This window comes from Homo sapiens, chromosome 5 (genome assembly GCF_000001405.40).
Source record: "Homo sapiens chromosome 5, GRCh38.p14 Primary Assembly".
Classification (NCBI taxonomy): Eukaryota; Metazoa; Chordata; class Mammalia; order Primates; family Hominidae; genus Homo; species Homo sapiens.
In genome coordinates this window covers 138,314,017-138,326,950 of record NC_000005.10, presented here as the reverse complement: position 1 = coordinate 138,326,950, position 12,934 = coordinate 138,314,017, and the positions used below count along the sequence as shown (strand labels likewise).

The 12,934-nt window shown below is 45.3% G+C and overlaps 1 protein-coding gene across 17 annotated transcripts in view; it reads left to right on the top strand.

The window, feature by feature from the left end:
* CDC25C (cell division cycle 25C) overlaps positions 1-12,934 on the top strand; it is a 53,091-nt gene that overhangs the window by 11,405 nt on the left and 28,752 nt on the right. For 13 of the 17 annotated variants that reach the window (NM_001364026.1, XM_047417954.1, XM_006714739.4 and 10 more), the window contains 3 exons: positions 897-930; positions 1,047-1,136; positions 7,577-7,732. In NM_001364026.1, coding sequence (NP_001350955.1) covers positions 897-930; positions 1,047-1,136; positions 7,577-7,732 — 280 coding nt within the window. The remainder of the gene's footprint in view (positions 1-896; positions 931-1,046; positions 1,137-7,576; positions 7,733-12,934) is intronic. The other 4 variants (XM_047417953.1, XM_011543761.3, NM_022809.4 and 1 more) reach the window with 2 other exon arrangements.

Below are 12,934 nucleotides of genomic sequence, written 5' to 3'. Positions count from 1 at the left end.
GACGGAGTTTTGCTCTTGTTGCCTAGGCTTAAGTGCAATGGCGCGATCTCGGCTCACCACAACCTCTCCCTCCCGGGTTCAAGCGATTCTCCTGCCTCAGGCTCCCAAGTAGCTGGGATTACAGGCATGCGCCACCATGCCTGGCTAATTTTGTATTTTTAGTAGAGACGGGTTTCTCTGTGTTGGTCAGGCTGGTTGCGAACTCCCAACCTCAGGTGATCCGCCTGCCTCGAACTCCCAAAGTGCTGGGATTACAGGCGTGGGCCACAGCGCCCCGCCAGAAATTAAATTTTTTTAAAAAGTTAGCCCCGGCCGGGTGCGGTGGCTCACATCTGTAATCCCAGAAGTTTGGGAGGCTGAGGCGGGCGGATCACGAGGTCAGGAGATCAAGACCGTCCTGGCTAACACGGTGAAACCCCATCTCTACTAAAAATACAAAAAATTAGCTGAATGTGGTTGCAGGCGCCTGTAGTCCCAGCTACTCAGGAGGCTGAGGCAGGAGAATGGCGTGAAACCGGGAGGCAGAGCTTGCTGTGAGCCGAGGTCGTGCCACTCCAGCCTGAGTGACAGAGCCAGATTCCGTCTCAAAAAAAAAAAATTAGCCCCAATACACTGTGCTGGAAAATTAGTAAATTGTAAATTGTATAAAACTCGTTCATCTTTGGAACATGTTATATGGTTATGCAGGCAAAATGAGGGTCTTATCCCCAGGATGTCACTTGAGTCTTGATATTTACCACAGAGAATACCCTATGTATTGTTGTTGGAAGAGACATATCAACTAGGAATAGGGCTCCTAGAATGAAATAGAAAAATGTTGGGATGCACCAATCCACTGAAGAATAATCAAACAGTATTTGGGACTAACCTGACAGGCAGTTTGTTTTAATCTGCAGGAATCATGACCAGCACCTAATGAAATGTAGCCCAGTGAGTAGCCTCTCTTTTTTTGGGTTTTGTTTTGCTTTTCAGGTGGGAGGCAGAGGGTTTCCATTGCACCTGTGGCTTGAGGATGCTGGACGTTCTCAGCAAACTCTCTTTTTTAGGCACAGCTTCTTTGTAGCACTCCGAATGGTTTGGACCGTGGCCATAGAAAGAGAGATGCAATGTGTAGTTCATCTGCAAATAAAGAAAATGTGAGTGTTTAATGGAAACCTAGATATATTGGCAGTTTTATTTTTTGAGTGAAGAAACTTGGTATCATAATGAGACATAGAACTGTTTATACCTCGTATGCTAGACAAGGAAACTGTATTACTATAGGGGAGAAAATTTCTTTGTTTTTGTTTTTTCTTATTAAAGTTTGGCCCTAGGACAGACACCCAGCTCCAAATCTTCCACAGTAGGTCATCATTATTTCTCATGTTCAGTTGATCATTTTGAGGACAAAAATTACCCTTACTGTAGTGTAAGGGATTTAGGAGTTTTTTGTTTGTTTGTTTGTTTGTTTTAACAGGTAGGGATAACTTGCATAACTTGTTCATGGATTTTTTTTTACCACTTTACATGCAAGTGTAGATTAATTTCTTATTTCCCCCTTAGTCTAGCTTTTAAGCCCTTATTCCGAGGAGGCCATGGTACTTTTTATCTAAACCTTAGGCCATCCGTCGTTCCAAGTTAAATCTAGCCTCTCCGGAGCCACCTCATCACTAAGATAGTTCTGTATCTAATCCCTCATCTAAGCCCCTTTTCTAGACATCGTTTTTTCTTCCCTGCCTCCCATCCCTTTCCCCAAATCATTACCATAAAAGATAGCTGCTCTTCTTTTCTTACATTGACTTAAGATAAACTCATGTTTTCGGCTGTTCTTATCAGTTTTTTCTTGATTTAATACTGTCCTTCTAATCTCCATTTATAATCACTTTTTATTCATTTATTTTTGAAACTGAGTCTCGCTCCATCGCCCAGGCTGGAGTGCAGTGGTGCAATCTCAGCTCACTACAACCTCTGCCTCCCGGGTTCAAGTGATTCTTGTTCCTCAGCCTGCCAAATAGCTGAGACTGTAGGCACGTGCCACCACGGCCCAGCTAATTTTTGTGTTTTTAGTAGAGACGGGGTTTTGTCTTATTGGCCAAGCTGGTCTCAAACTCCTGACCTCAAGTGATCCACCTGCCTCGGCCTCTCAAAGGGCTGAGATTACAGGTGTGAGCCACTGCCTGGCCTATAATCACTTTTTTTTCTTTTTTTTTGGTGAGACAGAGTTTTGCTCTTGTTCCCCAGGGTGGAGTGCAGTGGTGCAATCTCGGCTCACTGCAACCTCTACCTCCTGGGTTCAAGCGATTTTCCTGCCTCAGCCTCCCACGTAGCTGGGATTACAGGTGCGTGCCACCACACCCAGCTAATTTTTGTATTTTTAGTAGAGACAGGGTTTCACCATGTTGACCAGGATGGTCTTGATCTCCTGACCTCGTAGTCTGCCCTCCTCTGCCCCCCAAAGTGCTGGGATTACAGCCGTGAGCCACCATGCCCGACAGCATCAATATTTTTAAAGTTTTTTTTTTTCCTCTCCCTAGAAATAAGGGTCTCACTATGTTGCCTAGGCAAATCTTGAACTCCTGGGCTCAAGCCTTAAGGTTTTGATACTTTCTCCGATTCATTTCTAAAAAAGTTACAAGAATTTACATTTTCATTAGCAATCCAAATCTCATAGAATTTACTTATTTATTTATTTATTTATTTTGAGACAGAGTCTCACTCTGTCACCCAGGCTGGAGTGCAGTGGCGCAGTCTCAGCTCACTGCAACCGCTGCCTCCCTGGTTCAAGCAATTCTCCTGTCTCAGCCTCCTGAGTAGCTGGAACTACAGGCGCATGCTGCCACGCCCAGCTAATTTTTTGTATTTTAGTAGAGATGGGGTTTCACCATCTTGCCCAGGCTGGTCTTGAACTTCTGAGCTCAGGCAATCCACTTGCCTCAGCCTCCCAAAATGCTAGGATTACAGGTGTGAGCCACCCTGCCCAGTCTTCTCATGGAATTTGTTTTTTTTTTTTTTTTGAGATGGAATCTTGCTCTGTTGTCCAGGCTGGAGTGCAGTGGGACAATCTCAGCTCACTGCAACCTCTGCCTCCCGGGTTCAAGAGATTCTCTTGCCTCAGCCTCCTGAGCAGCTGGGACTACAGGCGTGTGGCACCACGCCCAGCTAATTTTTGTATTTTTAGTAGAGACGGGGTTTCACCATATTGGCCAGGCTGATTTGAACTCCTGACCTTGTGATCCACCCACCTCGGCCTCCCAAAGTGCTGGGATTACAGGCATGAGCCACCATACCTGGACTTCTCATGGAATTTTTTAAAAAATTACTTTCTGCTGAGCAGTCTAGTTTGAGGGAAAATGCTAATTAGGCCAGATGTTGTGGCTCATCCCTGTAATCCCAGCACTCTGGGAGGCTGAGGTGAGAGGATTGCTTGAGTCCAGGACTTTGAGTTCCCTAGCTGGGGAACACAGCAAGACCACATCTCTACCCCACCCCCCAACCAAAAAAAAGAAATGGCTGGGACTTGGTGGTGCATGCCTGTAGTCTCAGGTACTCTGGAGGCCAAGGCAAGAGGATCGCCTCGGCCCAAGAGCCTGAGGCTCCAGTGAGTTATAATTGGGAGGATTGCTTGAGCACAGGAGTCTGGGGCTGCAGTCAGCTGAGATGGAGACTCAGTCTCAAATAAATAATACACACACACATACATACATGGTAAAATAGTTTATTTTATGTTAAAAATAATTAGCAGGCCAGGCATGGTGGCTCATGCCTGTAATCCCACCGCTTTGGGAGGCTGAGGCAGGTGGATCACCTGAGGCCAGGATTTGAGACCAGCTTGGCCAACATGGCAAAACCCTGTCTCTACTAAAAATACAAAAATTAGCCAGGCGTGGTGGCACCTGGCTGAGAAACAAGAATGGCTTGAACCTGGGAGGCAGAGGTTGCAATGAGCTGAGATTACACCACTGCACTCCAGTGCAGTGAATGGACAGGTGACAAAGTGAGACTGTCTCAAAAAAAAAAGGAAAAAAAAATAAAAATAAAAATAATTAGTAGTGGCTGGGTGCAGTGGCTCACACCTGTAATCCCAGCACTTTGGGAGGCTGAGGCAGGCTGATCACTTGAGGTCAGGAGTTCCAGACTAGCCTGGGCAACATGGTGAAACCCCATCTCTACTGAAAAAAAAATATGAAAATTAGCCAGGGCCGGGCGCGGTGGCTCACGCCTGTAATTCCAGCACTTTGGGAGGCCGAGGTGGGCGGATCACGAGGTCAGGAGATCGAGACCATTCTGGCTAACATGGTGAAACCCCGTCTCTACTAAAAATAGAAAAAATTAGCCGGGCATGGTGGCGGGTGCCTGTAGTCCCAGCTACTCTGGAGGCTGAGGCAGGAGAATGGCGTGAACCCGGGAGGCGGAGCTTGCAGTGAGCCGAGATCGTGCCACTGTACTCCAGTCTGGGCGACAGAGCGAGACTCCATCTCAAAAAAAAAAAAAAAAAAAAAAAAAAATTAGCCGGGCGTGGTGGCAGGCATCTGTAATCCCAGCTACCCAAGACGCTGAGGCAGGAGAATCAGTTGAACCCAGGAGGCAGAGGTTTCAGTAAGCCGAGACTGCACCACTGCACTCCAGCCTGGGCGACAGAGCGAGACTCTGTCTCAAATAATAATAATTATAGGCCGGGTGCTGTGGCTCACGCCTGTAATCCCATCACTTTGGGAGGCCGAGGCAGGCGGATCACAAGGTCAGGAGATCGAGACCATCCTGGCTAACATGGTGAAACCCTGTCTCTACTAAAAGTACAAAAAATTAGCCAGTCGTGGTGGCGGGCGCCTGTAGTCCCAGCTACTCCGGAGGCTGAAGTAGGAGAATGGCGTGAACCCGGGAGGCGGAGCTTGCAGTGAGCCAAGATCGCGCCACTGCACTCCAGCCTGGGCGACAAAGCATGTCTCTGTATCAAAAAATAAAATAAAATAATAATAATAATTAGTAGTGATTTCATGTGATTATTATCCATGCGTAATTTCTCTAGTGTCTTTTGTGCCCTTATAATACTGGGGTCTTAACTTACCCAGGCATTGACTTGCCTTTCATAGACCATGGACTCCAGAGATTTGGATTATTATTTCTAATCTCAACCCTGAGGGAAAGCTATTTTAACATATTCTATCCTATGAAGATAAAGTTGATCATGGTTTTTTTTTTTTTTTTTTTTTTTTTTTTTTTTGAGACAGAGTCTTGCTCTGTCACCAGGCTGGAGTGCAGTGGTGCGATCTCAGCTCACTGCAACCTCTGCCTCCTGGGTTCAAGCAATTCCACTGCCTCAGCCTCCCCAGTAGCTGGGACTATAGGCGTGCACCACCACACCCAGCTAATTTTTTGTATTTTAGTAGAGACGGGGTTTCACCATGTTGGCCAGGATGCTCTCGATCTCCTGACCTCGTGATCCACCTGCCTCGGCCTCCCAAAGTGCTGGGATTACAGGCATGAGCCACCGCGCCTGGCCACTAAGTTGATCATGTTTTATTTAGGTTTTTGGTTTCTAGGATGGAGGGAAGACCTGGAGTATGTTCAATTATTGGATAGTCTTATATGTGATTTTTTTTAATTGCAGTAAAATGTACATAATATTTACAATTTTAACTATTTGTGAGTGTGCAGTCTAGTGACAGTAAGTATATTAATAATGTGAGACTATCACCAGAACTCATTTCCAGAATTTTTTCATTATTCAAAACAGAAGCTGTATACCCTTAAGTGATAACTCCCCATCCCTGTTTCTGCCCAGCCAATGATAACCTCTATTTTCTGTGTCAGTGAATTTGACTATTCTAGATACCTCATATGAGTAGAATAATATTATATTTTGTCCTTTCATGTGTGTGTGTGAGGTCTCACTCTGTCACCTCTGCTGGAGTACAGTGGCACAATCATAACTCACTGCAGCCTCAAACTCCCGGGCTCTGATTATTCTCCCACCTCAGCCTACCAAGTAGGTGGGACTGCAAGTGTGTGCCACTATGCCTGGCTACTTTTTTTTTTTTTTTTTTTTTTTTTTTTTTGAGACAGAGTCTCACTCTGTCACCCAGGCTGGAGTGCAGTGGTGCAATCTTGACTCACTGCAACCTTTATCTCCCAGGTTCAGGTGATTCTTATGCCTTAACCTCCCTAGTAGCTGGGATTACAGACGTGTGCTACCATGCCTGGTGAATTTTTTTGTATTTTTAGTAGAGACGGAGTTTCACCATGTTGGCCAGGCTGGTCTTAAACTCCTGGCCTCATGTGATCTGCCCACCTCAACCTAATTTTTTTGTATATTTTGTAGAATCAGGGTTTTGCCATGTTGCCCAGGCTGGTCTCAAACTCCTGGGTTCAAGAGATCCATCTGCTTCAGCCTCCCATAGTGCTGGGGTTACAGGTGTGAGCCACTGCGTCCAGCCTATATTTTCATTTAGCGTAATGTCTTCAAAGTTCATCTATGTCATAGCATGTATTAGAATTTCATTTCTTTTGTATGTATATATCATATTTTGTTTATCCATTCATCTGTTGATGGACATTTTGAGTTGTTTCCAACCTTTTGGCCATTGTGAGTAATGCCGTTATGAACATAGGTGTACAAAATCTGCTTGAGTCCTTGCTTTTATTTTATTTTGTGTATTTTTTTTTTCCAAGATGGAGTCTTTGCCCTGTCACCCAGGCTGGAGTGCAGTGGAACGATCACAGCTCACTGCAACTTCCACCTCCCTGGTTCAAGCAGTTCTCCTGCCTCAGCCTCCCAAGTAGCTGGGATTACAGGCACATGCTACCATGCCCGGCTAATTTTTGTATTTTTAGTAGAGATGGGGTTTCAACATGTTGGCCAGGCTGCTCTCGAACTCCTGACCTCGTGATCTGCTGGCCTCGGCCTCCCGAAGTACTGGGATTACAGGCGTGAGCTACTGCGCCCGGCCCCTGCTTTTAATTCTTTTGGGTATATATTCAGAAGTAGAATTGCTTGATTACATGATAATTCTACATTTAATTTTTTGAGGAACTGCCATGCTATTATCCATAGAATGCCTCTGCACCCTTTTACATTCCCACCAGCAATGCACAAACACTTGTTATTTCTTATAATGGCTATCCTAATGGGTATAAAGAAGTATCTCTTGCAATTTTCATATGCATTTCCATAATGATTACTTTGTTGAGCATCTTTTGATGTGCTTATGGGCCATTTGTATATCTTCTTTGGAGAAATGTCTATTCATGTCCCTTTTGATTGTTATTGTTGTTGTTACTGAGTTGTAGGAGTTCCTTATATATTCTGATATTAATCTCTCATCAAATATAAGACTTGCAAATGTTTTCTCCCATTTTGTGGGTTGCCTTTTCATTCCCTTAATGGTGTTCTTTGATGCACAAAAGTTTTCCATTTTGATGAAGACCAATTTATCTGTTTTTTTCTTTCGTTACCTGTGCTTTTGGTGGCATTATCCAAATCCAGTGTCATGAATTTTTTCCCTTATCTTTTCTTCTAAGAGTTTTATAGTTTTAGCTCTTACATTTAGAACTTTGATATATTTTGAATAGTTTTTAATGTTGTCAATATACTTGACAGGACAATGGAAACTTGGTGGACAGTGAAATGAAATATTTGGGCAGTCCCATTACTACTGTTCCAAAATTGGATAAAAATCCAAACCTAGGAGAAGACCAGGCAGAAGAGATTTCAGATGAATTAATGGAGTTTTCCCTGAAAGATCAAGAAGCAAAGGTAAAGTGTTCTGTGGTAGTATCTTTGTATTCTTCATATTCCTTCATTCTGTTAAAAGAAGAACTAGACAAATTAAACTTAGGAGAGTTTATTTGAGCAAAAAAATAACTAGTGAATCCAGCAACCCTCATAGCCAGAACATGTTCAGTAAAACTCCAGTTTGCCATGTGGTCAGGCAGTATTATGGACAGAAAATGGAAATGAAGTACAGAAAATAGAAGTGAGGTACAGAGACAGCCCAGTTGGTTGCAGCCTTGAGTTTGCCTTATTTGAACATGGTTTAAACAGTTGATTGCTTGTGGTTGACTGAAGCTCAGCTGCTGTGCTTTCCTGAGACTCAGCTTTTTGATACAAAAGTATACTTCTAAATTAGGCTTTCAGTTAGTTTAAGTACTAAGTTAGGTTGCAACTTGGTATATAAAGACTCAAGTACAGAGGCATCCCCAGGCCAAATTTAGTTTAATTAAGAATTCATTCTTCTTTTTTTTGTTGTTTGTTTTTTTTAAGACAGATTCTCGCTCTGTCGCCTAGGCTGGAGTGCAGTGGCGCCATCTTGGCTCACTGCGACCTCCTCTTCCCAGGTTCAAGCGATTCTCCTGCCTCAGCCTCTCGAGTAGCTGGGATTACAGGTGTGCACCACCACACCCGGGTAATTTTTAGTATTTTTAGTAGAGACAGGGTTTCACCATGTTGGCCAGGCTGGTCTTAAACTCCTGGCCTCAGGTGATCTACCCACCTCAGGCTTCCAAAGTGCTGGGATTGCAAGCGTGAGCCACCATGCCCAGCCAACAATTCATTCTTGAATAAACATTTTATGCCTGATATGTATGAGTCACTCTACTAAATGCTAGAGCTACAGAGATCAACAAGATGTGATAACCTATCTTTATTTATTTATTTATTTTTGAGATGGAGTCTTGCTGTGTCACCTAGGCTGGAGTGCAGTGGTGGTATCTCAGCTCACTGCAACCTCCGTCTCCTGGGTTTAAGTGATTCTCTTGCCTCAGCCTCCCAAAGCACGCCATCATGCCTGGCTAATTTTTTGTAATTTTAGTAGAGACGGGGTTTTGCCATGTTGGCCAGACTGGTCTCGAACTCCTGACCTCAAGTGATCTGCCCGCCTTGGCCTCCCAAAGAGCTGGGATTACAGGCATGAGCCACCACGCCTGGCGTAACCTATCTTTAGACTGTAGGGTTACCTGACTGATAGGTTATCAGGTCACTACAGAAATCTTCTTACTGCTGGTGAACAGGTTCCAGTCAATAGTTTGAGTGGATCACCATCAAAGTAATCTAGGATAAGTAATGTCTCCAGGATAATGGTAATGTATAAATGTATAGAATATACCTAACATTACTTTTCAGGTATTTTATAATACAGTCTTTTGTTTCCTTTTTTCTTTCCCATATCACTGATAGATATACCTGAAGCATGTGGGTTATAGCCTATATGCTGATATGCCAAAGATAGTTTCTGAGGCATTTAGCTTTTTTTGGTTTTTGGTTTTTGGTTTTTTTTTTTTTTTTTTTTTTTTTAGATAGACAGGGTCTTTCTCTGTAGCCCAGGCTGGGGTACGTGGCACAATTAAAGTTCACTGCAGCCTCAATCTCCCCAGGCTCTGGCAGTCCTCCCACCTCAGCCTCCAAGTAGCTGGGACTATAGGCACATGCCATCATACCTGGCTAATTTTTTGTATTTTTTGTAGCGATGTGGTTTCACAATATTGCCCAGGCTAGTCTCAAACTCCTGGACTCAAGTGATTCACACACCTTGGCCTCCCAAAGTGCTGGGATTACAGGCATGAGCTACCATGCCTGGCCTACATTTAGCATTTCTAAATCAGCTTTGTTGCTTTGAAACAAGTAGGGCTATGGGTTTGTCTTTAAAATTTATTCATTTCACAAGGCCAGTATGGTATAGTGGAGTTAGAACAGTTGCATTCTAGTCCTCATGCTTTTATTTTTTTTAATTATTTAATTAATTAGATAGGGTCTTGCTCTGCTCTGTCACCCAGACTGGAGTGCAGTGTTGAACTCCTGGGCTCAAGTAATCCTCCCACCTCAGCCTCCTGAGTAGCTAGGACTATAGGTGCATACCACCATGCCCAGCTAATTTTTAAAATTTTTTGTAGAGATGGGGTCTTGATGTGTTGCCCAAGCTGGTTTGGAACTCCTGCGCTCCAGCAATCCTCTTGCCTTTGTTGCGGGATCTTTAGGGTGTTGCTTTTCTGGCCAGAAACCTTTCTGCCCAGTGGTGCCTTTGCCTGAGTTGTTGTCCTGCGTCGAGGTAAGCAGACAAGTAGAGGGTTAGCAAGACGAAGAGAAGCTTTATTGAGTGTTAGAACAGCTCAGAGGAGACCCACAGGGGGCAGCTCCTCTCTGTAGGCAGTTTGTCTTATCCCGTATTCAGCTCTCAGCAGAGAGGAGGCCCTGGAGTGGGTGGCTCCTCTCTGCAGGCAGGTCCTCCCTGTTGATTTCCCAGCTTTCAGCAGACAGCATAGCTCCTCTCTCCTCTTTGGTTGTCTGATCTTTTCTCCATCCTCTACCCTGCTCTGGCTGAGCCTGGGCCTTTTATGGACCTCAGAGGGGAGAAAGTGCTTCCTGATTGGTTCATGGACTGTGAGAAAAGGCAGCACAAATCCCCATCCAGTGGGTGGGACTAGCAGCCCGGTCCCCAGCCTTTAAGCCCTCCCCGTCCTGAAGGTGGGGACTTACAGGAACCTCCCTTCTACCCAGGAGCCTGTCTGTCTCTCTCAGCAGTCCATGGCACCAGGCTGCTCACACCAAGGTGCACCTAAAGGCCAGCACTGACCACCCTCAGTCCCTACTTGGCTTCCCCTCTTTTGCTTCTCCGTGCCCAAATTCTAGAGGGGGTCAAGGTGGCAGGGTGCTGCCCTGAGGGTGCACACACAGATCCGCCCCCGGACTGTAACAGCACCTGGACTTGCCCCAACCCCACTCTGAGATTGGAGTGGGTGCCAAGAGCAGAGAGAAGTGGGGATATGGGGGTGGTGGGGAGGCCTTCCTGGGCCCCCAAGGGTGCAGGCTGCAGAGACTATTAGGTCCTGCACCTGGGAGGGCAGCTGCAGCTGCACCCGGGAAGGCAGGGATCCTGCCTGCTCCCGGCCCCCACAAGACCACAGGGAGGCTCGGATCTGCAGCCACAACTTGGGCGGCTGCAAGCCCACCCAGGAGGGCAGGGCTTCTGCCTGCTCCGTGGAACAGGAGGCCCAGGTTAACAGCTGCAGTTTGTGTAGCTCCAGCAGCACCAGGGGAGCTCCTGCCCCAACTCAGAAGGGGAAGGGCTCCCGCTAGCTCCATGGATCATGCAGCCCTATCCATACCTCTCTGCTGCAGCCAGTTTGATGACAGCAGCAAGCCCTCTGGAGTTGCAGCTGCCAACACCTTGGCCTCTCAAAGTGCTGGAATTACAAGTGTGAGCCACCGTATCCAGCCTCATTCTTTTATTTACTTGGTGGTATGACTGTTCACAAGACAACCACTTGACCTCAGTTTTTAATTTATAAAATGGAGAGCATGATAAAACAACTACCTCCTTAATAGGCTTGTTGTAAATAAAATATTAAAAGCAGTTTATGTCCTCATCACATACACACAAATGGTAACTGTGTGATGAAGGATGTGTTAATGAATTTCATTGTGGTAATCCTCATGTAATATATACGTAAATCATTATATTGTACTCCTTAAGTATATACAAATTTTATCATTTATACCTCCATAAAATAGAAAAAAAAATTTAAAGAGCAGTTTGTAATACAGTAGTCCTCTGTTATCCACAGAGAATACATTCTGAGACCCCCCAGTGGATGCCTAAAATTGCAGACAGTACTGAACCCTATATATACCATGCTTTTCCCTATGCATATGTACCTGTGATGGAGTTTTTTACTTAGGCATAGTAAGAGATTAACAATAATAACTAATAATAAAATAGAACAATTACAACAACATACTATAATAAAAATTATAGGAGGCTGGGCGTGGTGGTTTATGCCTGTAATCCCAGCACACTGGGAGGCCGAAGCGGGTGGTCAGGAGTTTGAGAGCTGCCTGGCCAACATGGTGAAACTCCATCTCTACTAAAAATACAAAAATTAGCTGGGCGTGGTGGTGAGCATCTGTAACCCCAGCTACTGGGCTGGCTGAGGCAGTAGAATCGCTTGAACTTAAACCCAGGTGGCAGAGGCTGCAGTGAGCCGAGATCGCACCGCTGTACTCCAGCCTGGGCAACAGAGTGAGACTCTAACTCAAAAAAAAAAAAAAAAAAAAGTGCTGGCTGGGCATGGTGAGTCAGGCCTGTAATCCCAGCACTTTAGGAGGTTGAGATGGGCAGATCACCTGAAGCCAGGAGTTTGAGACCAGCTTGGCCAACATGGTGAAACCCTGTCTCTATTAAAAATACCAAAAAAAAAAAAAAAATTAGCCAGGTGTGGTGGCGGGCACCTGTAATCCCAGCTACCCAGGAGGCTGAGGCAGGAGAATCGCTTGAACCTAGGAGGCAGAGGTTGCAGTGAGCCAAGATCGCTCCATTGCACTCCAGCCTGGGCAACAAGAGTGAAACTCTGTCTCAAAAAAAAAAAAAAAAAAAAAAGTGCTATAGGCTGGGAGCGGTGACTCACACCTGTAATCCCAGAACTTTGGGAGGTCAAGGTGGGTGGATCACCTGAGGTCAGGATTTCTAGACCAGCCTGGCCAACAGTATGAAACCTTGGCTCTACTAAAAATACAAAAATTAGCTGGGTGTGGTGGCAGGTGCCTGTAATGCCAGCTACTTGGGAGGCTTAGGCAGGAGAATCACTTGAACCCAGGAGGTGGAGGTTGCATTGAGCCAAGATCACACCGTTGCACTCTAGCCTGGGCAACAGAATGAGACTCCATCTCAAAAAAAAAAAAAGGTGCTATGAATGACAGGACGATTTGAATAAAGGACAGCACTTTGAGAGGCCAAGGCAGGTGGATCACCTGAGGTCAGGAGTTTGAGACCAGCCTGACCAACATGTTGAAGCCTCGTCTCTATTAAAAATACAAAAATTTAGCTGGGCATGGTGTTGGGCACCTGTAATCCCAGCTACTCAGGAGGCTGACACAGGAGAATTGCCTGAACCCAGGAGGCAGAGGTTGCAGTAAGCTGAGATTGTGCCGCTGCACTCCAGCCTGGGTGCGACAGAGCAAGACTCC